This window comes from Homo sapiens, chromosome 19 (assembly GCF_000001405.40).
Source record: "Homo sapiens chromosome 19, GRCh38.p14 Primary Assembly".
NCBI lineage: Eukaryota > Metazoa > Chordata > Mammalia > Primates > Hominidae > Homo > Homo sapiens.
Genome location: NC_000019.10, coordinates 42,058,181 through 42,083,063, shown reverse-complemented (window position 1 = coordinate 42,083,063; position 24,883 = coordinate 42,058,181). Strand labels below are relative to the sequence as shown.

The following is a 24,883-nucleotide window of genomic DNA, read 5'->3' as shown; positions in this document are numbered from 1 at the left end:
GAACAATTATTAGAATTTGTTTTAGGCCAGACGCGGTGGCTCATGCCTGTAATCCCAGCACTTTGGGAGGCTGAGGCAGGTAGATCACCTGAGGTCAGGAGTTCAAGACCAGCCCGACCAACATGGTGAAACCCTGTCTCTACTAAAAATACAAAAAACTAGCCTGGCATGGTGGTGCGCAGCTCTAATCCCAGCTACCTGGGAGGGTGAGGCAGAATTGCTTGAACCCAGGAGGCGGAGGTTGCAGTGAGCCGAGATCGTGCCATTGCACTCCAGCCTGGGTGATACAGTGAGACCCTGTCTTAAAAAAGGAGTTCTTTCAGGCCGGGCACAGTGGCTCATGCCTATAATTCCAGCACTTTGGGAGGCTGAGGTGGGCAGATCACCTGAGGTCAGGAGTTTGAGACCAGCCTGGCCAACATGGTGAAACCCCGTCTCTACTGAAAATACAAAAACGTAGCCGGGTGTGGTGGCACGCGCCTATAATCCCAGCTACTCGGGAGGCTGAGGCAGGAGAAACGCTTGAACCTGGGAGGTGGAGGCTGCAGTGAGCCGAGATCACACCACTGCACTCCAGCCTGGGCGGCAAAGACTCCAACTCAAAAATAAAAAGGAAAAAGAGTTCAACAGAAAGATCTGGAATAATCTTTGGGGGGGGGGGTCTCAGAAGCAAGGCTAGCACAGCAGCCTAGCATCCCACCAGTCACATACTCCCATCTTGTCTCTACCACCCTCCCCAAAGTATGCAGAAGGCAACAGAGTAGAGAGAAAAGCATATCGGTGATTAAACCAAATGAAATGAAATCAGGCTTAAATTCAAGCTCTGCCCTGCCTGGATTGAATGTGACCTTGGGCAAGTCATCTCAATGCTTTTGACTGGAGATTCCTTCCCTGCAAAATGTTCTCACGTAATCAGTGTGAATATTATTCAGTTATATAGTACTTGAGACTGACTAGATGTTCAAACATTAGCCAGCCATCCCAACAATCCATCACTCACAATAAAAATCTGTTGGCTGAGCCAAAGTCCAACTCCAGGGGAATTCAAGTCACCACCTCTCATGAATCTTCCTACATCCAGACACATATTATTCAGAATCTCCTTTAATTCCACAGCTCTAGAGATCATGCCTACCTGCATTTGCTCTTGGGGATCAATGAGAAAATCAGATGGCCTTGGGAGACAAGGTCCACATCAGGCCAGGAGTCAGGGACAGGAGTGTAAAAATCTGATTTCTCTGAAAGTTCCTGCCACCAGTACAAACACTCTTGAGCTTTTCCACAGAGCCATGGGACCTCTAGTGGCAAGAGAGCCATGCTACCTCCATCTAGCAGTGAAGTGAAGGCCCTGCTATGAGAGCCATGCCCATGAACACCAGGTCATTCTCTTCAGCCCAGCAAATGTTTACTGAGCTCCTACTACCCCTAATACCTGCCAGGCCCACTTCTGGGTGTTGGTGATGCAGCCACGAGAGGTAAGACCCATGACTCCCAAATTCCACTCTACACACTGCTGGCAACTCAGTCTTTATTGATGGTTTCATTTTTGGGGTCACCAGTGCTAAGAGGTGGAAGGTGGGGGGGCACCTTTATGTGTGTCAAGGACCCCAGAGCACCCCCCTCACGAGAGAATAAATCCAATTTAGAACTTACAAGGTGGTGGGGATGGGAAGAGGAAGGGACACAGTATGTACAGATGCTTAAGGGGATGCTGGAGGGCCTTCAGCAACAGGGAATGGAGGTGCCAAAGAGGAAGTCGGGCAGAGTCAGCCACTGATCTGGACCCCCTCAGCCTCGGCCAGAGGGTAGATCTCAATGGCTTCCACCAGGGGTAGCGCCTCCACAGCAGTCTCCATGACGGCCAGGCCAACGGCAGCCTCCGCCTCTGCCAGCTGCTGCCGCACAGCTGCCTGATGCTGCTGCTGATGGGTCTTGCGGTGCTTCCAGAGGTTGGAGAAGGAGCGGTAGCTCTTGCCACAGTCAGGGCAGGAGTAGGGTCGTTCGCCTGTGTGGATGCGGCGATGTTCTGCCAGGCGCATGGAGATGGCAAAGGCCTTGCCACACACTTCACAGGCAAAGGGCCGCTCACCTGTGTGCAGGCGCCGGTGGTCTTTCAGGTGGGTACTCTGACGGAACGCTTTGCCACAGTCTGGACATGGGTATGGCCGCTCACCTGTGTGGATGCGCCGGTGCACCTGCAGTGACGTCTCTGTGCTGAACAGCTTCTTGCACTCGCTGCACTCTAGACCCCGGCGGCGGGCAGGGGCCGCAGGGGATGCTGTAGCAGTGCTTCCAAGGGCTGCTGGAGAGGCAACTGGTGCACGAGTGGCCCGTGGGGCTCGAGGGGCAGGGGGCTCCTTAGCCAGGACCTCTCCAGGCCCAGCAGCTGCATGGGCCGCCTCGTGTGCCTGCAGTCGAGCAGCTGAGCCCACTTTCTTGCCACAGGTGCCACACTCAAAGCGCCGTGGGGCCTGGGCAGCAGCGGCTGCACAGCGGTGCTCCCGGAGCCGCAGTGAGGAGGGGAAGGCAGCCCCACAGGATGGGCAGCGGTGGGGCTGGCGCCCGGCATGGACCACGAGCTGGTGCACCTCCAGCAGCCGACGCAGCAAGAAGGAGCGGGGGCACTCGCGACACTTGTAGGGGTATTCACCTGTGTGATGGTAGCGGTGCATGAGCAGGCGGTAAGGACGGTGAAAACGCACCCCACATTCCTGGCAGCGGTAGGGGAAGTGCTGGGCATGCACCAAGCGGTGCTGCCTCAGTGTGGAGCTTTGCGTGAAAGCCTTGCCACAGTCCCCACACCGGTAGGGCCGCTCTCCTGTGTGTGTGAGCCGGTGGCGGGCCAGGTTGGCAGGTGAGTTGAAGGGCTTGGAGCAGTCAGGGCAGGGGAAGGGCCGCTCCCCTGTGTGTGTGCGCAGGTGGTTACGCACGTGAGACTTCTTCTTGAACATCTTGCCACAAATGCTGCATTTATGGCGCCGCTCCAGCCGATGCACAAAACGTTGGTGCCGGGTCAGCTGCAAGGCCTTTCCAAATTCACGGCTGCACAGGAGGCAGCGGTAGGTGCCTGGGGCAGCGGGCCCTGCTGAGGTCTCCTCAGACACAGGGGGCTCAGGGGCCTCTGGCTCTCCAGTCTCTGCTGGGGCTGGCTCAGGGAAACCAATGACAGGTTCCTCTGGTGGGACTGGTGTTGTGGGCAGAGGGACACCCCCTACCCCATGAGTACGCCGGTGATAAAGGAACTTGGTAAGGTTGACAAAGGTCTTCCCACATGGACATGAATGCAGAGGATTCGGGGTGTGGGCTCGCCGGTGGGCCAGGAGGAGGGCCTCTGTGCCGAAGGCCAGGCCACAGTCTACACACAGGAAGTGTGACTCGCTGCTATGGTCTCCAAGGTGCTGGTCCAGACTGGAAGGGCTAGGGAAGACACGACTGCACAGGGGGCACTTAAAGACGCCCTCCCGGTGACTCCGCAGGTGCTGCTGTAGCTGGTGGGGTGAGAGAAAGAGCTGGTCACAGGCTGAGCAGAAGAGCTCCTGTGTGGCTGCCCCGCCTGCTTCTCCACTGTTGTTCCTCCGGGCCCTGCGCCCCCGGCGATCCCGCCCAATGGCTTCACCATTGCGCAGCTCGTAACTGTGGTCAGAAGCTGGCAAGGGGTCAGGCTGAGACACAGGCACCTCTGCAGGTGACGAGGCCTGCACCTCCTGCTGTAAGGCAGGCTCCTGAGACTCGGGTACAGGAGCAGGGAAGTGAGTGGCCTGGTGCTCCAGGAAATCCGCCGGCAGCTGGAAGAGCTGGGAGCACTCAGAGCACTTGTAGAGGAGCAGCTCCACCTCAGTCACTACCTCAGTGGTGGTGGCAGCGGCAGATGGGACAGTCGCCCCTTCCCCACCCTCTTCTGCCTTTCGGTATGAGTGCTCCACAGCCACTCGGGCCTGGCCCACAGGAGGCCCTAGAACAACTGGGGACCCCAGGACAACAGGGGCAGGAGCCTTGGTGGGTGTGGCCCGGAGGTGCGTCTGCCGGTGGTTCAGCCAGAGCTCCTGGCTGGCAAAGAGAGCCTTGCAATCCACACACTCGTAGTGGATGGTGCTGGAGCTCAGGGGTGGTGCCTTAGGTGATGGCTCAGCTGGCACTGCCTCCTGGGGTGCCATCATCTTCAGGTGCAGCTCCTGGTGCTCCAGGAGCTGGCTGGGTGACATCAGCAGTTGACCACACTCCAGGCACTGGTACTGGCTCTCCTGCACAAGGGTCTGATAGAGGCCCGTGCCTGAAGCTGTGTCTGTGGCCACAGTGACTCCGGGATCAGCCACGCCCACCAGCTCAAAGTGCTGCTGGGGCACGTGGGAGTTTTGGTGCATAAGCACCTCTTCCAGTGATCCATACAGCTGGTTGCACTCAGAGCAGACATAGCGGTGCTCAATGTACAGGACTGTCTCCTCTGATTCCTCAGTCATGGCGGCAGCAAGGCCCTGGGCTGGAAGAGGAGACAGTGGGGACAAACCAGTTAGGTCACCGATTCCTCAGCTCTTCCCTTCATCACTCTCCACTCCTAATACCTTAGATCTACACCCCCTTAAGTTCTTCCTTCGATTTTTAAAATTCTGCCTCCCTCCCAATAATCCTTCCTCCCCTCAGCATAACAAACACCAAACACAAATCTCCCAGGCAGTCCCTTCCCCAGGAATTTACCCACAGTCTCACCTCTGTATCAACTTGCATCAAACTCCACCCACCAGATCCTTGTAACCTGTCCAGTCCCCTCATCTCCCACACCTCACAGTGGGCCCCACAGTTCCGCCCAGCACATGGGAACCTCCACTCAGACCTCCTTCCACTGACTCCTTTTCTTACCAACTCACCTCACCCCATTCCTCTCCAAGGTACCCAACTGAAACCCCATATAGGCCTTCCCCACCTGTTTCTCCCAGCCACACCCCTCCCATGGCCTCTGCTCCTTCTCCCAGGTTCTCAGACTTCTTTTTACACTCAGACCACTCAAACTGCCCAATGCCCCACCACTCCACTTTCAGCACTGTACAAGGTGCCACCCCTCCCCTTTACACGCAACCCCTGCTACCCACCAACTCTTCCTCAGGTGCCCAGATTCCTCACGTCAAACTATATCCCTTCCCCCCAGTCAAATTTTCTCACACTGGCCTAACCCATCTCCACACCCAGACTTTGCCCACCTTAACCACTTCATGATACGCAGCCCTGTTTAATTACTTAACCTCCTCTACAAATCAAGGCCCTCTCCTACAACCCTAACCCCCTATCCAGAATACCCAGACCCATTTTCACAAAAGCCTACTCCTCCCCGCTTCGGACCTAGGCCCTTCCACCACCCTAGCTCCTGTCTCCAGGGTATCTATCCACTCTTTACATTCATCACCTCTTCTTTGTACCAAGACCAAATCGACAATTCTAATCCCCTCTGAGATACCCAGATCCCCTCTTCCCATTGATTTAAACCCTTCCTGTTCATACACAGCCACTCATTCAGGGATGCCCATACCCTCATTTTATATCAACCTATGCCTCTCTTGCAAACAGAGCCCCCCCTCAAATCCATCTCAGGAATATCCAGATCCTCCTCCACATTATTAACCTAATCTTTTTTAATTTGCTAGAAGACCCAACCCACCCTAACCCATTCTAGGGATGCTCAGACCCTCCTCTTCGTAGCAACATAACTCCTCTTCTTTGTGTAAAGATCCACACACCCATCTTTCACAATGGCTTAAGCTCCTTTTACACACACCCCTCGTGCTGCCCAAACCCCCTTTAGGGATACCCGGACCTCCTATTCTCATACAGAACCTCCATCACCACCTTAATCCAGCACAGACCCCTCTTCCTCACACTCAAGCCCCTCTCACCAGCCTCCTATTCTGGGGGTACTCAGACCCCCCAGCGTCTTAGCAACCTCTCAGTCTCATTCCAGGAATTCCCAGGCACCCCTCACTTTAGCACACAGATCTCTCCCACCCTACTTCCTCCCCTTCCAATAACCAAATCCCATCTTCACCTTGGCCTAATTACCTGTACTTAAAAAAGACTACCTTCCCCAGCTCATTCTAGGGACACCCAGACACCCTTTTAAAATACACTTAATCCTTCTTTGTACAAAGACTCCTTTCCACGCATTCCAAGGGTACCCAACCTCCTGACACATTGGTTTAAGGCCTCTTCACATTAATTTAACCCCATCCATTACAACTGGACCCCTCCTTAGCTCTAAACCGTTCCCTTGGGGATATCGATTTCCTAATGTCTTCACACCAAAACCCCTCTCACCGCCCCAATTCTTTCCAGGAAGAACTAGATATTTTTCCCCTGCATTAACTTAATTATCTTTCTCACGCCCTAAGCCCCTAACTGGGCACCCACGTGCCGTCTAACCGGCCCAGCCCCTTCGTCCTGGACTTGCCACACCACCAAGTCCTTTACCCCAAACCCTGGGGAGCCGCGGAGCCCTCTTGGGACAGCTCTGAGGCCTCCCCTTCCCGCCCAGGTGCCCCACCAAAGCCTCAGCCCGAGCCCCGCCCCTCCTCACTCAGCCCCGCACGCGACTCCAGGCCCCTTCCCCACCCGCCGCTCCAGCCCGGCCCCCGCCCGGCTGCCCGCGCGCCGGGTCGGCCGTTGGTGCCGCTCCGCCCTAACTGCCCGGCGCGCACCCCCTCAGGCCCTCAGTGCGCAGGCGACCTGGCAAGAGGAGGCCGCGGCGGCAGGGAGCGCAGCCCGGCCGGCCTCTGCGCGCCCGCTCGCGCTCACCTGCTTCCGCCGTCTCGCACGCCCCGGGCCCGGGCCACGGCTCCCCTTGCACGGCCACCCTAACGCTGCGCCCGCTCTAGCTCTCGCCGTCGCCTCTCGCCTGCTCCGTAGCCTCGCTCTCGCCCCCAGCTACCCTCAGCAACGCCCCTCCCACCTTCCTCCTCGGCCGCCGCACGGACGGCCGGACGCAACCAATCATTGCCCGCTCGGGCCCTGCCGTTCGGCCAATCGACGTTCATGTCTCTGAGGCTTGGGCCAATAGTGAGGAGCGTCGAGATTCCCCGCAGCGCCCAACCAATCCTTTAGCGTCGTTCCCTCACCGGTCAGCCCTCGGGTGGATAGTGCCCGCCCCTTTAATCCTCCTTAGAGGATGCTCCTCCTCCTCCTCGACTCCGCCTCCGACGGCTCCAGAGGGGAACTCTGAGCGGAGGGCGGCGCGATGACGTTAGGCGGCGGAGCGCGGCCGCGGGCGCCATTTTGGGGACGCCGTGAGGGAGTCAGCGTTGGGGACAGGGAGAGGGAGGAAAAGAGCCTGGGAAATTGAGGCACGCGGCACCTTGAGGGCTGGAGCGGGGGAATGGAGGCACGGGAACCTTTGTGGTTTCCCCGAGGGTCAGAGGGAGAAAGTGAAACCACTTAGCGCGATGGGGAGAGGGCAAACTGCATGCAGCACCAGTCACATGGAGAGAGAAAAGGGAAACCAAGGTTCCAGACTCACTTTATTAAAAGGAGGGGAATGAAGGCAACAGGAAGAAACAGAGAAAAGACCGAGGGGACTTTTGGGAGGTGGAGAGAGGAGAAATGTCATAGGGGAAGCAAGGAGAGCGAGGATATGGAGAAAAAGAAGCAGGGACAATTTCATTGGAAGAAATAGGGAGTGTGGTGGGTAGAGGACCTGAAGGACAATCGGGGTGAGAGCCTGAAGGAAGTGAGCCGGTAACGGGCGGACTCCACTCCACCTCCTTCCGGGGTGACTCTGACCCTTACACCTCGAGATTGGGGCCCCATGTGTCCAAGGGGCTCTGGCCATTCCTACTCACCTCGTTCCTGCGCCCCTCAGGGCCTTGGGAGGGAGTTGCCCCAGTACTGTTAGAAACGTTTCCAGGCTGGGCGTGGTGGCTCACGCCTGCAATCCCAACATTTTGGGACGCTGAGGCGGGTTCACTTGAAGTCAGGCATTCGAGACCCACCTGGCCAACCTGGTGAAACTACCATCTTTACTAAAAATACAAAACATTAGCTGGGCGTGGTGGCTCGTGCCTGTAACCCCAGCAACTCGGGAGGCTGAGGCTCGAGATTTGATTGCACCCAGGAGGCCGAGGTTGCAGTGAGCCGAGATCACGCCACTGCACTCCCGCCTGGGCGACAGAGCGAGACTCCATCTGAAAGAAGAAAAGAAACATTTCCAGACCTACTCCTTGAACCCAAACACAGAGGAATTTCAACTTATCGGATGAGGAAACTGACTCTCAGAATTGTGTTATTTATTTACTTACCTGAAGCCACTATGGGATGCGTCTCACAGTGAGACCCGGGGCCAATTCTATGGCCATTTGGTCACTAGATGTCCTAACCTTCTCATGGATTAAATTCCCTAACACCAGGCATGTATAGTTAAAACAGATTCCCGGATTGGAATCCTGGTTCTAGGGCAAGTCAACTGTCCTGAGCCTAAGTTTCTAATCTGTGAAATGGGGCTAATAACAGCCCCATTTCATGTGAGCCCCATTTCATCTCATGTGAGGCAGAGAGTAAAAGACATCTAGGAGTTACTCATTTTATTTTTATTTTATTTTATTTTATTTTATTTTATTTTATTTTATTTTATTTATGAGACAGAGTCTTTCTCTGCCGCCCAGGCTGGAGTGCAGTGGCGCGATCTCGGCTCACTGCAACCTCCGCCTCCCAGGTTCAAGCGATTCTCCTGCCTCAGCCTCCTGAGTACCTGTGACTACAGGCGCTCGCCACCACGCCTGGCTAATTTTTGTATATTTAGTAGAGACGGGGTTTCACCGTGTTGGCCAGGATGGTCTCAATCTCCTGACCTCGTGATCCACCTGCCTTGGCTTCCCAAAGTGCTGGGATTACAGGCGTGAGCCACTGCACCTGGCCTATTTTTAAAATTTAATTTAATTTTTTTTTTTTTTGAGATGGAGTCTCACTCTGTCGCCCACCGCCCAGGCTGGAGTACAGTGGCACGATCTCAGCTCACTGCAACCTCCGCCTCCTGGGTTCAAGTGATTCTCCTGCCTAAGCCTCCTGAGTAGCTGGGACTACAGGCAGACACCACCACTCTCGGCTAATTTTTGTATTTTTAGTAGAGACAGGTTTTTGCAATGTTGGCCAGGCTGGTCTCGAACTCTTGACCTCAGGTGATCCACCCCCCCACCCAGCCTCTCAAAGTGTTGGGATTACAGGCGTGAGCCACTGCGCCCAGTCCCTAATTTTTTTTTTTTTTTTTTTTTTTTTTTTGAGACAGTCTAGCTCTGTCACCCAGGCTGGAGTGCAGTGGTGTGATCTCAGCTAACTGCAACCTCTGCCTCCCAGGCTCAAGCAATTTTCAGCCTCCTGAGTAGCTGGGATTACAGGCATACACCGCCATGCCCTGCTAATTTTTCCTAGTTTTTGGTAGAGATGGGTTTTTGCCACATTGGCTGGGCTGGTCTCGAACTCCTGGCCTCAAGTTGATCCATCTACCTTGACCTCCCAAAGTGCTGGGATTACAGGCATGAGCCACCATGCCCGGGTTTTTTTTTTTTTTTTATAGAGATAGGGTCTCACTATGTTGCCCAGGCTGGTCTCAGAACTCCTGGGCTCAAGCTATCCTCCTGTCTTGGCCTCCCAAAATGGTGGGATTACATGTGTGAGCCACTGTGTCTGGCCAGTTGTTATTTTTATTAGTATCTCCGGGAGCCTAATAATAATAACTAACATCTCTTGAGTGTATTATGACGTGCTAGGTATTATGCTCAATGCTTACATGCATTACTCAGTTTAATCCTCTCAACAACCCTATGAGAGAGAAACTGTCATGCTGACTCTACAAAACATCGAGGCCCCAGAGAAGTAACTAGTCGTAGTTCCCATAGTTAGGAAGAGTCAGGATTCCAACCCAGGAGTTGACCTTACAGTCTACATTCTTGGCCCCCAGGCTCACCTGCCTGCCAGGCAGGAAGTTCAAGTGGTTGCATGTTGAAGGGTTGAATGCAAGAAGTGGAGGAAAGAGTTGGTGGAAATTAGTGAGCTAAAGCTAGGCTCGGCCTGCTCTGAAGCAGTCTGGGTTTGCCCTTAGGGCAAAATCACCTGGGGTAGGTGACAGAGAAGTGGAAGCCATGCTCAGTTTTTGACAGGCTGTGTGACCTTGGGCAGATTCTTGCTTCTGCTGAAACCTCCTTTTCCCCACTTGAAAATCTGAGGATCAGGCTGGGTGCGGTGGGTCACACCTGTAATCACAACACTTTGGGAGACCGAGACAGGCCGATCACCCGATGTCAGGAGTTCAAGACCAGCCTGACCAACATGGAGAAACTCCGTCTCTACTAAAAATACAAAATTAGTCAGGCATGGTGGTGCATGCCTGTAATCCCAGCTACGCGGGAGGCTGAGGCAGGAGAATCACTTGAACCCCGGAGGCGGAGGTTGCAGTGAGCCAAGATGGCGCCATTGCACTCCAACCTAGGCAACAAGAGCGAAACTCCATCTAAAGAAAAAAAAAAAAGAAAGAAAGAAAAAATAAAAGAAAAGAAAACCTGGCCGGGTGCAGTGGCTTGCGCCTGTAATCCCAGCACTTTGGGAGGCCGAGGCAGGCAGATCACGAAGTCAGGAGATCGAGACCATCCTGGCTAACATGGTGAAACCCCGTCTCTACTAAAAATACAAAAAAAGTTAGCCGGGTGTGGTGGTGGGCGCCTGTAGTACCAGCTACTCAGGAGGCTGAGGCAGGAGAATGGTGTGAACCCAGGAGGCAGAGCTTGCAGTGAGCCGAGATCATGCCACTGCACTCCAGTCTGGACAACAGAGCGAGACTCCATCTCAAAAAAAAAAAAAAAAGAAAAGGAAAAAAAAAGAAAATTTGAGGATCCAGGTAACTTCTCAGGCCTTTTGCTTGGACTTCTCAACTTGATTTGGGTGGTGCAGGTCTCTTTTCTCCAGATCATATAGGAATAAGCTGAGGATAAGCTGAGGTCTTTCTGGAGGTGGTAGTGCAGGACTGGCTGGGATTTCCGGGACAGGTTGAATTTAGAGGGGATGGTGGTTGGTTTTTGTTTTTTGTTTTTTTTTTGGAGATGGAGTCTCGCTTTGTCTCCCATGCTGGAGTGCAGTGGCATGATCATGGCTCACAGCAACCTCTGCCTCCTAGGTTCAAGCAATTCTTGTGCCTCAGCCTCCCAAGTAGCTGGGACTAAAGGAGTGTGCCACCGGGCCTGGCTAATTTTTGTATTTTTAGTAGTGACGGGGTTTTGCCATGTTGGCCAGGCTGGTCTTGAACTCCCAACCTCAGGTGGTCCACCTGCCCCGGCCTTCCAAAGTGCTGGGGTTACAGGAATGAGCCACCGCCCTGGTCGAAAGGATGGTGTTCTGTGTTGAGGTCCTTCATAAGCAAAGTCCCAGAGGCAGGTGTGAATCTGGGCTTTTAGGCCTGACTGGAGTTAAGTGTGGATGTTTGAGGGGGCGGTGTAGATGTTGACCAAGTGGGGTAAGGAGGTGTGTGCAAAGTTGGTGGTCCTTCAGCGTCAGATATATGTGTCAGATGTGTGTCCAGGATGCCCCACATGCCAGCTTGCAGAGGGCTTCCTGTGCTGGGCTGGCATGTGGTCCAGGAGTTGCCATGTGCCAGCTGTGTGTTCGAGGCATGCGGTCACATATGCTGTGGGCCGCACGTGAGTGTGTCAGTGTCTCCTCCCCATCACGAGCATCGGGGGTGGTGGTGAGTCACGGGCTCAGCCTTCGGCGCCAACTGTCATGTTTCTTCCCCCCAAATTTCACCCCCCACCCAGCCATGCACCACCCACCCCCACTCCAAGATCTGTGTCGCTTCTCTCTTCCATCCCCCTGTCCTGCTCAGCTCCTTCTGAGAGGCTGCAGGGTGTTCCCTGGGAAGGAGTCTCCCACTTCTGGCTCTGCCCTCCAGCTTCCTCTCCTTGTCCCATCCACCTTTCCCACTGCCTCTCTGCTCCTGTGACTAGAGAATGAGGGCCCCTTCTCTCCACCCACTCATCTCTGTGGGTCCCAAGGATTTCTCTGTGCACTATAGGGAATTCTCATACTCACCACCCATCCCCTCACCTCTATAGGAGCTATTTATATTGGGGGAGGCTTGCCCCGCATCTCCAGGCTGGCAGCTCCTGCCTCAGTGGCTCTCTTGTGTCTATGAGCCACATCCTTGTCTTTTTGGTACCCTGGTGTCTGTAGGCCTCCCTTGTTTCTGTGACCTTCTTCGGCTCTCCTTGGCTCTCTCCCTGCCCTGTGGACCGCTCCCCATATCTGAGGAGTGCTTTCTGTTTCCAGGGGCCTCTCTCTTGTGTCTCTGGCTTCTCCCGTTTTCCTTCGCGGGAGGTCTCTATGTCCACATTACTGCCCCTTGTCTCCGAGGTCCTTTTGCTTGTCTCTGTAGGCTGCTCCCTTGTCTCCATGGGCCTTTCTTTCTTATCCCTGGGCTTTTCCTGTCCTTGTCCTTGTGGGGTTTGTGGGCCTCAGCCCACTTCTCTGGACAGTCTTGACGGCTGTCTCTCTTCTCTTCATTTCTCTTCATCTCTGTAGCCCTCTCCCCTCATCTCAGTGGCCTTCTCCCTGGGTCTTCTTGCCTCTCATCTCTGTGGGCTCCTGTGCCCAGGGCTGCCTGGGCAGGGCGGTGGCATGGTGTGGTAGAGGGGGTGGCTCGGGGGTGGGCCTTCCATCCAATGCAGCTCCTTCTTCTCATCAGCATTCTCCTCGCGGGGGGCCCCCAGCCCCAACCAATACAGGCTCCCCCTCCCCCGACTCACCTCCCTACTCTCTCTTTGCCTGCCTCCCTCCCTTCCTCCTGCCCGCCCTCCTCCCTGCCTCCCTCCCTCCCTCTTCTCTCTCTCCTGAACCACCCCACTGCGCTCCAGGACCCAGCGCAGGCGGCAGGCGGGCAGGCAGGCGGCGGCCTCGGAGGGGAGACTGAGCGGTGGCGGCAGCCAGCGGCAGGGAGGCAGGCCCAGCCGGGGACTGGAGCCGGGGACTGGAGCCGGCTCCTCACAGGGGACCAGGAGTGTGTCGCCAGGCCCTCCCACTGAGGCCCAGCACCGGGAGCCCCTGGGACACCCCACCCTCCTCCGCCTTTCTCTTCCACCTGCTCCTCTCCATCCTCCTCTCCCTCCTCCCTATCTCTCCACCTCATTTGCCCCCTTCTTGGCCTCTCCGGGTCTCCCAGCTCTCCATCCTCCCCAGCTCTCCACTCCCGGGCTCTCCCCGCCCCCAGCATGCTTTTCCCGTGGGGGCTGAGGGCTTGAGGACTCCGGGCCCTTGCCTCAACCAGGGCAGGGCCCAGGCTCCAGGGGGGAGGGGGAAAGGGGGCGGCCCCCTCCCCCAGCAGGCCCTCCCCTCCCCCACTTCTCCTGATGGCCGGCTTCCTTTTCTCCACCCAGTCCTCGCCCCCTGTGGCCCCCCCAGGCCGGCCCGGCTAGGGGAGGGGGCGGGGGCCCTTTCCTGGGCCAGCTTCCCCCTCCCCCGGCTTTGCCTGTGCCCCCCCCTTCCGTTTTCACCTTCCTCTCCTCCTTTCCTCCCTCCTTCCCCTCCATTTGCTCCTTCCCCCTCTCCTCTCTCCCCTTCTCTCCTCCATTTTCTCCTTTCCCCTTCCTCCCCTCCCCGGCCCGCCCTCTCCTCTTCCACCTGTCCTTCCTCCCTGCTCCTGTGGAGCCACCGTTTTGGATTAGTTGGGAGCCACCACCGGCGGCGGGGGAGGGGGCCCTGTGGACTGCCCTCTCCCCCCGCCCAGCCCCACCACCACCCAGCGCCAGAGCACCTCCCGCTGTCGGTCTTCGGGCCTCGAGGGAGCCCAGCCCTCCGTCCCACCAGGATCCGTGAGTGTCTGCAGGGCAGGGATTGGGCTGGGTTCTGGGTCCTGGAAGGCTGGGCTCTGGTGCCGCCTGGCAGGGGGGCACCACATTCTCCCCGTTCTCCGGACTGGCAAGTACCCTCCCCCACTAGGGGCCTGCTCTGCGCCCTCCATCTCCTCAGCGTCCATTCACCTCGACCTCTTCTCACCTCTTCTTCTGGGTACATAGCTCACTGCCGCCCCTGGCCCTCTAGCTTTCTGGGGTCCTACGGGGCTGATTGCTCTTACTTGGGCTCTCACTTACCCCGGGCCCCTGGCATGTCCGTGCCCCTGCTGTCTCCAAGCCTCCGTCCTGGTCCCAGACTGGCTCTTTCTGTTCCTCTGAGCCTCATCCTCTGCCTGCGGTGGGCCTTGGCCCTGTCCCCACCCCGTCCAGTCTCTATCTCCTGGATATGTCTTTCCGCTTTTGAGCCCCCATTTCCTGTGTCTCTTGGGCCCCTCTCTGACTCTGCCCAACTTCTCTCTTTGCTGTTAGCCCAGGTTGCTCTCGGCATGTCTCTGTTTAGATCCCTCTCTCTGTCAGAACTCCTCCACCCTGGCTTCCCTCTTTCCAAGTCTCCCTCGGCAGGTCTCTTTCCATTTCTCTTTCTATTCTGTGCCTCCGCTCACCTGTCCTCCTCCCTCTCTCTGCCTCTGAGCTTGGAGGCTGTCTTCCCTCTGTCACTTTTCCACCTCTTTCCCCCAGATCCACTCTGGGTGCCCGGCTCCTCAGTCCCTCCCTCCTCAGCTGCTGCCCCACCTCTCCGTGGTCCATGCTGACTTTTCCTGGCTGGTCTGGCTCTTTCCACTCCCATTCTCTCTCCCGACTTCTGTGTTACCTCGCGTGGCCTTTCTGCTCCCATTCCTCTCCATGTCTGGGGGCTTTCAGGCCCCAGGATCTCCTGCTCCCCCACACGGCATTCCTGAGTGTCTTGGGGTGGCTATGCCTCTGTGTGGGTCTGGCCTCTCCTGCAGGTGCTTGCCCTGTCCCTGCCTGTGCCCCTCTAGTGCACTCACTCCATCTCCCCACCTCAGTTTCCCTCCCTGACTCCCCCTTTCTCTCTCCCAGGTGCTTTTCCCCCTTGCCCCTTCCTCTTCTATGGGCCTGTCGTGCAGCTCCGACATACTGTCTCTCTTTCCGACTGGCCCTCTCTCTTTGTAGAGTTTGGCCATTTCTTTCCTTCTCCCAAGTCTTGTACCTGCTGCTGTTTCTTTATCTCCCTTTGCCTTCTCCCTCACCCTGTGTGCCTTCGCTGGCCCTCCTTGCCTCTCACCTTTGCTGATGTCTCTCCTATGCCCACTGTTGCTCAGCTCTCTGCTGGGTTTTGACTTTTATCTGGCTTTGCCCAGTCTCTGGGGCTGAGTCCTGGACCTGCCTGACACCCTACCTGCCCTGTCTCTGTCTCCTTTGCTGTCTCACTTCTAGGCTGTGTCTGTCTCTTGCTCTCTCACTTAGCCTCAGTTCCTACGTCTTGGGCTGTCTTTCTGTGTGTATCTCTGTGTCCACCTGCTGCCCCTCAACCCTGTCTTTCTCTGTCTGCTCCCACCTTTGGCTGCCACCTGTGGGTCCCTGTCCTTCTGTCCCATCTCTCCCTCGGTCTTTCTGTCCTTTGTCCTCTGCTCCCTGATTTGCCCCAGGAGTCCCTGGTGTCTCAGGATGACCCACTCCACTCCTGCCTCTCTCCTAGCTCCGCCCTTCACACTCCTCCCACTCTGAGCGCTCCTCCGGGTCTCCCAGCATCCCTTGTGCCTCCATCCTTGACAAGCCTTCACCTTAATCCACATTATAGTTTGCAGTCCCCAGCCTGTCCAGCATACCCTCCCACCTAGCACTCTCTTCTTCTCAGAGGCCTAGAAGGCAGTGACTTGCTCAAGATCACGCAGTGAGTCAGGGGCAGAGCTGGGACTGATCCCCAGCCTAGGTTTTGCAGGCCACTTGAGATGGTGAGAAGGACTTGTGCCTCTATCCTTCCCTCGAAGTTCTCATTCCACAGTTTCACCAGCTCAAGCTGTCCTTCCATGGGGACTGAGTGGGGTCCGGTGTCCAGGCCCACTTCACAGCATTCTGTGCCCCCCACAGTAACCCTACTCCATGGAAACCCAAGCATCCCTTCCCGTGGGGCACAGCCCTCAGCCAGGGGAAGTGGAGCTGTGCATCTGGCCAAACTCCTTGCCCAGTGGTTGCCCTGCAGAAAGCTGGGGTGCCTAGAGGAATCCCTGACTCCTTAGGGGTGGAGAGTTGTGAAGAGCAAAGATGCACCATCTCCCCCTTTACTTCTTCTCCCCAGTAGGGTGGGGGGCAGTGGTATGGCACCCACTTCTGGCAGGCAGCTCCACTCCCTGCCTTACTCACTCCTCCCTTCCAGCTCTTCCTGCTTGTATCCGAGTCGGTTCCTATCTTTTCTCCATCCTCTGTCTCCCTCTTCCTGTGTCTCGCCTGTGCCTTGGTTTCCCCACCTCCAGCCTGCCCCTCTTTCCTCCGCTCCCTGCTCTGTCCTTTCTTTATCTTGCCTCCTCATCCTCCTGTCTCTTCCCTCTTTCTCCCTCCTAGTCCTCTCCCTGCCTCCCTGTAACTCTCCTCTTTTCTCTCCATTTCTACCCCCATTTTCCTATTGTCTTGTCTTTCTCTTCCCTTGTATTTCTATCTATTTTGACCTTTCTCTCTTTCTGAGTCTCTCTGTCTTTCCCTTCTCTAAGCCTCTCTTTCACTTTCTCTGTTTCCTCCCTTCTCTCTCTTTGCTTTTTTTTTTTTTCCCCCTTTTACTGCTCTGGGTCCATTCATCTATGGGGTTCTGTGTGTGCCTCTCTCTCTTTTTCTCCATCTCTCCATCTCTCCCGAAGTTTCCTAACTCCCAGATACTCTCTCCTCCAGACCTCGGATGTCCAGGCCTCTCTCCCCATGGGATTGTGGGAACTGGGGATGTTAGGAAAGTGGCAAGTGAGGCCTGGGATGGGGTTGCCTAGCAACCACCGCATCCTCTCCAGCCGGTTTCTGTTGCCTAGTAACGGCTGCCTGCCCAGAGACAGGGGCGGGACTGGGTGGGGGGTGGCACTTCCTGGTTTCCTATTTGGGTGGGGCTGGTCCCAGGAATTCACTCCTACCTGAGAACCTCGCACGCCTCCCTCCTGTTTTGGTAGCTGTGCCCATCCTCTCTCTTGCAGCCTGTCCTACTCAGCGCCTGAGCACTGTGACCTCCACCCTGGTAGTGCCCCTCTGAGCTGAGCTTCCCTTCTTGCAATGCCCTCAGTATTGCCAGCTTCTAAACAGAGCAGGGCTCTGCAGAGCTGTGAACTGCTTGCCAACAATGTCCCCAAGGCTTCTGTGACCACCCCATCCAGCAGGCCTCCAAGGGGTTCCATCCCACCACATAGTAATCTCCCCTTGGTCTGGGGGGTCTCCCTGCAGGTGGCGAGTGGGGGCCGCGGCAGCTGCGTCCCCATGAGGAGGGGAGGAAGATGCCGGCTGAGCTGCTGCTGCTGCTGATTGTTGCCTTCGCCAGCCCCAGCTGCCAGGTGCTCTCATCACTGCGCATGGGTGAGGCCCTCCCGCACCCTGCCCCTGCATCCTCAGGCCCTGGGGCTCCTCTGGGGACCCAGGCATGCCAGTCCGTCAGGGTCCAGGTCTCAGCTCTCTTCAGCAGCAAGGAATCCCAGCCTCCAGTTCCTCCTTCCCCCAGGACCCAGGAGTCCAGACCCCTAGCTCCCACCAACCTCAGATCCAGGTGTCTAGACCCCTGGTCCGTATACCCACCTCACCCTAGAGCCCTGGAGTCTAAGACCACAGCCCCCTCCTTCCTCAGGACTCAGGAGTCTGGTCCCCAACCCATGTGTCCCCTCAGCTGCAATCCTGGATGATCAGACAGTGTGTGGCCGCGGTGAGCGTCTGGCCTTGGCCTTGGCCCGGGAGCAGATCAACGGGATCATCGAGGTCCCAGCCAAGGCCCGAGTGGAAGTAGACATCTTTGAGCTGCAGCGGGACAGCCAGTACGAGACCACGGACACCAGTGAGCGGGGCCATGGGGGCGTGGGGTGAGGCAGGGCAGGTCGGTGGCCCTCAGTCCATCCCTCTGCCCCTGGCCTCTGGCCTGGCCTTGTCCTCTTCTAGCTCCATCCTCCCCCTTCTTTGTGTTTGTCTCTGCCTTCTTCCCAGACATGGCTGCTGCTGGGCCTGGGGGTTGGAGAGGAGGGAGAGCATAAGCCCCAGTTCTGCTCTGGAGGAGCACGGGGCGGCGTTGAAAAGATAAGCCCTATCATCCCAGCTGGCTGGGGATGCTTGTTAGCCCCCAGAGCTTAATAACAAGCCCCAGGCATGGAGGGCAGGAGGCTTGGGCGAGGGTCAGCAAAGGCATTCTGGAGAAGGCTAGTCTGAAACTGAGCTCTGAAAGGTGAACAGGATGTAGAAAGAGTGGCGTGGCTCCAAGCACGGCCGGCCACATCACAGGGGTGTGGAAGTGTCTATGGAATACTGATGGGCTGAATGTTCGAAGGTGTCACTTGAACAGATGTGCTGGAGTTAGACCTTTGGGAGATGCTGCCTTAAAACATGTTTTAGACAGGTTTCTTTCCTGCAGGCCTTATCAGAGGCTTTATGGTGTTCGTGTATGTTTCAGATCAGTAAGAGGAAGAATGGGGTATGGCATTTCACAGGCTTTTTTGGCTGATGTGGCACAGAGTACAACTTGGGAGAAGCTGGGATGGAGGGTGAGGAGGCAGATGGCATTCCAGTCATGTGCCTAGAGTCTGGAGATGAGGTGGGGATCGGGGTGGGAGCAGAGGGAAGTATTTGGAGCCAAGAAATGGGGGGGTATGGGGTTGAGCCCATCCTGAATCCACCTGGATTCAGGACATATTTGGAGAGATTGTGAGATACTTCAGAGCTAAGTGTGACAGGGTAGTAGGAAGCGAGGCTGTGCAGATTGTCACGCTGGCTCAAGGAGGCTACAGTGCCAGGGTGAAAGATGCCACCTTCACCCACAGGCACTGGGAAGCCATTGATAGGTCTATACCAGGGAGTGAGGCTTCTGGAAAGAGAATCTGGAGACTGGATTTGGGTGATGAGTGTGTACTCTGATATATGTCTGAGTTGAGAGTCCTAAACTAGGTCAGGGGCCAAGGGGTTGAAGAGAAGGGGATACATGTGAGAAATTTGAGGACAAAGAAGAGACAGGACATGGTGACTAACTGGCTGTCAGGAGAGAGATTGAAGGCAAGGACCATTTCCAGGCATCTGGTCTGTGTGAATGGTGGGGCCCTTACCAGTGTGGAAGGTCCAGAAGGAGCCAGTTTGGAGGAAATGAGGTGTTGAGTTATGATGCCTTTAGTTAGAGGTGGCAGAAACCAAACTCAGCCTGGTTTAAGGAAAAAAGAGAACTTATTAGCTCATGTCACTAAAAGACCTAAGGACAAATTTCAGGCATGGCTGAATCCAGGTGTTCAAACGATGGCCTAGGATTGTTTCAGGCATGGCTGGATTCAGGCATTCAGATGACATCCTGGGAATCTCTGTGTCTTTACCTCTGAGGCCTGCTTTCCTCTGAGTTGGCTTCATTTTCAGAAATGCTCTCTCAACTGGTGGTGAGATGGCCCCAGCAGCACCAAGCTTACATCTCACCAGTTTAGCAAACCCAGTGATAATTGTAGCAAAAGACCTGGGGAAGGTGCTCCATGGTCTGATTTGCACCCATATGTATTTCTGAACCAGTTGCCATGGCTAGAAGAATGGAGTTCTGTGACTCCCCAAGGCCTGCATCAGGTGCCAGTCAATCCTGGGAACCCTGGACTGAAGGGTGAGGATAGTTCCCCCAGGAGAAGTTAGGGTTCTGCCATGAGAACAGGCACTGGACAAGCAAAAACAACAGCTTTCCACCTCCCAGTCTTGAGACACACATGTGTATAAGGAGGAAGAGAGCAGAAGAAAGAGGAGGAAGTAAGTGCAGTGGGAGAGTGGTGTTTGGAGTATGGGAAGGCTCCAGGGGACCTGGGCTGTGGGGTCAGGGGAGGAGGTGGTGAGTGCACCGTGGGTTGTGGCATGGCTGAAAAGGTTGAGAACAACAGTGGCTGAGGGACTAGGCACAGGCTTTGTAGGCAGAGGAGGCCCCTGGTGTCTCTTTCTCTTCATCCCTTCCTTTGATCTCCCTTGGCCTGACCTGTCCCTCTGTTGCTGTGTCCTCATCTCTCTCCATCTCATGCCCCCTCATGTTCACTTGTTGGGTGGGGTCAGAGACTGGCCTTCTGGGTCCCGGATGGCAGAAGAGGATCAGGCAGTTGCCAGTGTCTGATCCTCTCCTGGGCCATGGCGGCTCCCTGAGGGATGGGGAAGGAGAGGAGGCAGGGGGTCCCTGACTCTGCGGTCTCTTCCCCTTCCCACGCAGTGTGTCAGATCTTACCCAAAGGGGTTGTGTCTGTCCTTGGGCCCTCCTCTAGCCCAGCATCTGCCTCCACCGTGAGCCATATCTGTGGAGAGAAGGAGGTGAGATGGGGAGTGTGGGCCGGCGCTTTGTGGGGAGCGGGTCCCTGGGAGGCGAGGGCTGGGCGGAGAAGCAGGATGGAGGCCAAAGTTTCCTCTCTGTCCAGATCCCCCACATCAAGGTGGGTCCCGAGGAGACACCCCGCCTTCAGTACCTTCGCTTCGCGTCTGTCAGCCTGTACCCCAGTAACGAGGACGTCAGCTTGGCGGTCTCCCGAATCCTCAAGTCCTTCAACTACCCCTCGGCCAGCCTCATCTGCGCCAAGGCTGAGTGTGAGGGAGAACTGAATGTTTTGTTTTCTGTTCCCCCAGACACCCCTTCCCAAGAGATCTGGTGTCCCACACAGTGGTTCACTGCCCCCTAGTTAGAACCCTGGGGCACCCAGGCACCAGGCTCTTCTCCCATCTTCAGAAACCGAGGCCTCTGGTTCTACAGACCCCTTCTCTCCCCAAAGAGATCCATTTAGTCCCCAGATGGTGACTAAGCACCTGCCATGTCAAGGCCCTCTGCTAGGCCCTGGGCGTGGTCCCTGGGTGCTTGGAACTCCGGTTCTAGTGGAGGTCATTGGTCATTGAGCTGTTGTGATACAGAGTGGTATGTGTGCTGCCAGGAGGCACGTGGAGCCTCTGGTATCACATAGGAGGGATCCTAATCCATCTGGGAGGTTCAGAGCCTGTGTCTATGAGAAAGAGACATCCAAGCTGAACCTGAAGGGTGTGGGAAGAAAGAGGGAACAGGTTCTAAGTAGAAAGTGTGACGGGCAGAGGTAGAGGGCCCAGGGAGCACAGCCCTTCAAGAGGCTTGCAGATACTCCCAGTGGCTGAAATGTGAGAACAACGAAGCAAGAGATGATGGGAGCCATGGGAAGTCCCCACGCCGGGCAGGGCGAGGGGACAGGGTCAGATTCGTGTTCTAGGAAGAGCCCTTTGGCTGCAGTGTAGAGAACAGGCTGGAGAGTGACAAGAGGGGTGGCAAGGAGACAAGTGAAAGGCAGGGGAGAGGCGACACTGGTCTGGGCCCAGGTGGTGGCAGTTGGAATGAGGGGGCCAGGGTGATGTGAGAGGCGTGAGGGAAAGAAGAGGGTGGGGCTAGGGATGGTGCAAGGCCTTTGCCAAGGAGGAACACGATTCATCGGGGCACACGTCGGGCATGGTGTGTCTTTGAGACATTCATGTGAGATGTCTGGTAGGCTGGTGGATTTGTGGGTATGGAGCTTGAGGCAAGGAGGAACTGTGCTCCATAGCCTCTAGAAGGAATTCCTCCTTCAAGAAGTATTTATTGGGCCAGGTGTGGTGGCTCATGCCTGTAATCCCAGCACTTTGGGAGGCCAAGGTGGGAGGATGGCTTGAGGCCAGGAGTTCAAGACCAGCCTGGGCAACATGGCGAGATCCCATCTCTTAAAAAAAAGGTATTTATGGCCGGGCGCGATGGCTCACGCCTGTAATCCCAGCACTTTGGGAGGCCGAGGCGGGCGAATCATGAGGTCAGGAGATCGAGACCATCCTGTGAATGGTGAAACCCCGTCTCTACTAAAAATACAAAAAGTTAGCCGGGTGTGGTGGCGGGCACCTGTAGTGCCAGCTACTCAGGAGGCTGAGGCAGGAGAATGGCGTGAACCCGGGAGGTGGAGCTTGCAGTGAGCTGAGATCACGCCACTGCACTCCAGCCTGGGCGACAGAGCGAGACTCCGTCTCAAAAAAATAAATAAATAAATAAATAAAGGTATTTATTAAGCACCTGCTCTGTGCCAGGCTCTGATCTTGGTATTGGGGTCAGCCGTGGGTGAAGTAGTCCAAGTACATTCTGAGGAGAGGACTTGGGCAAAAAACACCACAAATAAGTGCATTACATGGTTAGAAGTAGTGAGTTCTATGGAAAAGTAGAAATGACTTATGAAGAATGGTATGGGCGTGGGGTGCAACTTTAAATGAAATGGTGGGCGAGGGCCTCATTGAGAAGGTGATGTTGGAATAGAGACCTGGAGGAGGGGAAGGAGGGAGCTGTGTAAGGATGTGAGAGGAGAGGGTTCTAGGCCAAGGGAACAGCCAGCGTGAAGGCCGCAGGACAATAGCAAGACTATGGTGTGTGCAGAACAGCAAGGAGGTGGTGTGGCTCAAGCCCAGAGAGTGAGTGATGGGGAGAGGAGGAGCTGTGGGCTGGATGGTTAAAAAAAAAAAAAAGGTATTTATTGAGCAGCTGCTATGTGCCAGGCCTGGCTCTTGATATTAGGCTATTAGGGATCAGTCTCTACTCTAGTGTCTCAATGAGGCCCCCGCCCACCATTTCATTTAAAGTTGCACCCCACACCCACACTAGACTCCCAGTCTTCATAACTCATTTCTGCTTTAACATAGAACTCATTATTTCTAACCATGTAATGCATTTATTTGCGGTGTTTGTTGCCCAACTCATCTCCTCATCCTGTACCTGGTCTGCTTCACTCACAGCTGACCCCCAATACCAAGAGCAGAGCCTGGCACAGAGCACATGCTCAACAAGTACCTTTTTTTTTTTTTTAAAGAGATGGCTTCTCACTATATTGGCCAGGCTGGTCTTGAATTCCCGCAGTCTGGGCAGTAACAAGGGGTTGAGTTGGGCAGATTGTGTGGCTTTGGAGGCTGTGAGGACTTTGGCCTCTAGGACTCTGACTGAGCTGGGAAGGCATTTGAGGGTTTGGGGCAGAGGAGGAGCACATCTGACCCGTATCATTCTGGCTGCTGTGTAGGGAACAGACTCAGGGGCAGGCTTGGGGATTGCAGCAGGCAGGAGTTGGTGGTGGCTCAGGACAGGGTGGTGACAGTGGCACGGCGTGAGGGGATCTGATGTGTTTGGAAGGGAGGGCCTTGATGGATTGGGTGTGAAAGAGAGGAAGCCAGAGTTTTGGCCTGAGCGACTGGCACACTAGAGATGCTGTTCACCAACATGGGGAAGCCGTGGTGGTTGAGCAAGGAGATTAAGCATGAGATACCTGTCAAGACACCCAATGAGGGGTCAGGAAGGTGGCAGAGACAGGAATCTGGAGTTCTAGGAAGAGGTCTAGGTTGGGATTTTAATTGGGGAGGGCCCAGGCTTTGGGTCCCCAAGCCCATTACCCCATGGGACCCAGCTGCCCCATGTCCTTGCACACCCTCCAGTCCTCTGCCCAGCTGCCCCATGTTGAGGAGGAGAGAGTGTCTACGCCATGCCTGGGTACCCAGAAGGGCTCCAACCCAAGGCCCCACCCCTCCCTCAGGCCTGCTGCGATTGGAGGAACTGGTGCGTGGCTTCCTCATCTCCAAGGAGACGCTGTCAGTGAGGATGTTGGACGACAGCCGGGACCCCACACCACTGCTCAAGGAGATCCGTGATGACAAGGTGTCCACCATCATCATCGACGCCAACGCCTCCATCTCCCACCTCATCCTCCGTAAGGTGAGGCCCCTACCTCTGATTTCCCAAAGGACTGGGGCCAGAAACTTGGGGTGACCGAGCAAGTCACCCAATGCCCATGGGCCTCAGGAGTCAAAAGGGGGCTTCAAGACCTTCTTCTTCCGTGAAGATGATAATTGTAAAGTTTGTCTCTCAGCCTGCCTGCTTCCTGGTTGTGTGGTCCTGAGCAGTCACCGCATCTCCCTGTGAATAGTCCCTGCTCGGTGGGTTGTGAGGGTTAATGAGTGAGGCTAAGGGAACAGCCAGCGTTCAGGCTGCAGGACAGGAGCAAGACTGTGGTGTGTACAGAACAGCAAGGAGGCAGTGTGGCTCAAGCCCAGAGAGCGAGTGATGGGGAGAGAAGGGGCTGTGGGCAGGGGCAGGTAAAGTATGCAGGGCAGTGCCTGGCCCCGAGTCAGATCTGGCTACATCGTAGCTCTGAAGGATTTTTAAACATTTTTTATTGAGCTCTGTGTTAAGGTGTTTTTGCATGTATTTTTTTTCTTTTTTCTTTTTTTTTTTTTTTGAGACGGAGTCTTGCTCTGTCGCCCAGGCTGGAGAGCAGTGGTACAATCTCAGCTCACTGCAACCTCAGTCTCCTAGGTTCAAGTGATTCTCCTGTGTCAGCCTCCCAAGTAGCTGGGACTATAGGTACCTGCCACCACACTCGGCTAATTTTTGTATTTTTAGTAGAGACGGGGTTTCACCATATTGGCCAGGATGGTCTTGAACTCCTAACCTCGTGATCTGCCTGCCTCAGCCTCCCAAAGTGCTGGAATTACAGGCGTGAGCCACCACACCCGGCCAATAACCAAATTTGTATTATTTATTTTTCTCTACTTTTTTTTTTTTTTAATTAAAACCATATGTCAGCCAAGTGCAGTGGCTCATGCCTGTAATCCCAGCACTTTGGGAGGCTGAGGCGGGCGGATCACGAGGTCAGGAGATTGAGACCATCCTGGGTAACACGGTGAAACCCCATTTCTACTAAAAATACAAAAGAATTAGCCGGGCGTGGTGGCGGGCGCCTGTAGTCCCAGCTACTCGGGAGGCTGAGGCAGGAGAATCACTTGAACCCGGGAGGTGGAGCTTGCAGTGAGCTGAGATTGCACCACTGGACTCCAGTCTGGGTGACAGAGCAAGACTCCATCTCAAAAAACAAAAAACAAAC

The 24,883-nt window shown here is 55.5% G+C and overlaps 2 protein-coding genes across 16 annotated transcripts in view, besides 5 other annotated features; one reads left to right on the top strand and one right to left on the bottom strand.

The window, feature by feature from the left end:
- Positions 1 to 1,511: 1,511 nt before the first annotated feature.
- ZNF574 (zinc finger protein 574) lies at positions 1,512 to 14,587 on the bottom strand. 6 transcript variants are annotated; one of them, NM_001330519.2, is made up of 2 exons: positions 14,103 to 14,587; positions 1,512 to 4,477 (listed from the first exon to the last, which is right to left on the bottom strand). In NM_001330519.2, the coding sequence occupies exons 1-2, from the start codon at positions 14,350 to 14,352 to the stop codon at positions 1,767 to 1,769; spliced, it is 2,961 nt and encodes a 986-aa protein (NP_001317448.1). In that variant the 5' UTR covers positions 14,353 to 14,587; the 3' UTR covers positions 1,512 to 1,766. The 6 variants fall into 6 exon arrangements, with proteins under 6 accessions (NP_001317448.1, XP_011525530.1, NP_073589.4 ...); XM_011527228.4 differs by lacking the exon at positions 14,103 to 14,587 and adding an exon at positions 7,818 to 8,207; NM_022752.6 differs by lacking the exon at positions 14,103 to 14,587 and adding an exon at positions 6,778 to 6,898.
- Positions 6,479 to 6,558: a silencer, noted in NCBI's record as "silent region_10684". NCBI's record gives its function as "represses an Ori minimal core promoter by ATAC-STARR-seq in GM12878 lymphoblastoid cells {active_cell/tissue: GM12878}" and the evidence as "EXISTENCE:reporter gene assay evidence [ECO:0000049][PMID:35858748]".
- Positions 6,569 to 6,828: a silencer, noted in NCBI's record as "silent region_10683". NCBI's record gives its function as "represses an Ori minimal core promoter by ATAC-STARR-seq in GM12878 lymphoblastoid cells {active_cell/tissue: GM12878}" and the evidence as "EXISTENCE:reporter gene assay evidence [ECO:0000049][PMID:35858748]".
- Positions 7,199 to 7,318: an enhancer, noted in NCBI's record as "active region_14699". NCBI's record gives its function as "activates an Ori minimal core promoter by ATAC-STARR-seq in GM12878 lymphoblastoid cells {active_cell/tissue: GM12878}" and the evidence as "EXISTENCE:reporter gene assay evidence [ECO:0000049][PMID:35858748]".
- Positions 7,539 to 7,588: an enhancer, noted in NCBI's record as "active region_14698". NCBI's record gives its function as "activates an Ori minimal core promoter by ATAC-STARR-seq in GM12878 lymphoblastoid cells {active_cell/tissue: GM12878}" and the evidence as "EXISTENCE:reporter gene assay evidence [ECO:0000049][PMID:35858748]".
- Positions 7,669 to 7,738: an enhancer, noted in NCBI's record as "active region_14697". NCBI's record gives its function as "activates an Ori minimal core promoter by ATAC-STARR-seq in GM12878 lymphoblastoid cells {active_cell/tissue: GM12878}" and the evidence as "EXISTENCE:reporter gene assay evidence [ECO:0000049][PMID:35858748]".
- Positions 12,858 to 24,883, top strand: part of GRIK5 (glutamate ionotropic receptor kainate type subunit 5) — a 71,883-nt gene continuing 59,857 nt past the window's right edge. For 7 of the 10 annotated variants that reach the window (XR_935810.3, XM_011526862.3, XM_011526865.2 and 4 more), the window contains exons 1-6: positions 12,870 to 13,823; positions 17,244 to 17,372; positions 17,677 to 17,841; positions 20,209 to 20,306; positions 20,411 to 20,576; positions 23,537 to 23,715. Coding sequence is in view for 9 of the 10 variants with exons in the window: in XM_011526862.3 (XP_011525164.1) it covers positions 17,294 to 17,372; positions 17,677 to 17,841; positions 20,209 to 20,306; positions 20,411 to 20,576; positions 23,537 to 23,715 (687 nt within the window). In the remaining variant the exon portion in view is untranslated. Of the gene's footprint in view, positions 13,824 to 17,243; positions 17,373 to 17,676; positions 17,842 to 19,538; positions 19,764 to 20,208; positions 20,307 to 20,410; positions 20,577 to 23,536; positions 23,716 to 24,883 lie in introns of those variants that run through there. The other 3 variants (NM_002088.5, NM_001301030.2, XM_047438705.1) reach the window with 2 other exon arrangements.

What these genes read in the sequence shown, in the direction of transcription:
- ZNF574 (NM_001330519.2), bottom strand. Translation starts at nt 14,352, where the DNA reads ATGCCGAGAGCAACCTGGGCTAACAGCAAAGAGAGAAGTTGGGCAGAG. An exon ending in GGACATGCCAGGGGCCCGGG is followed by an intron (nt 4,478 to 14,102) that starts GTAAGTGAGAGC and finishes CTCCTCTTCCAG; the next exon opens with CCCAGGGCCTTGCTGCCGCC.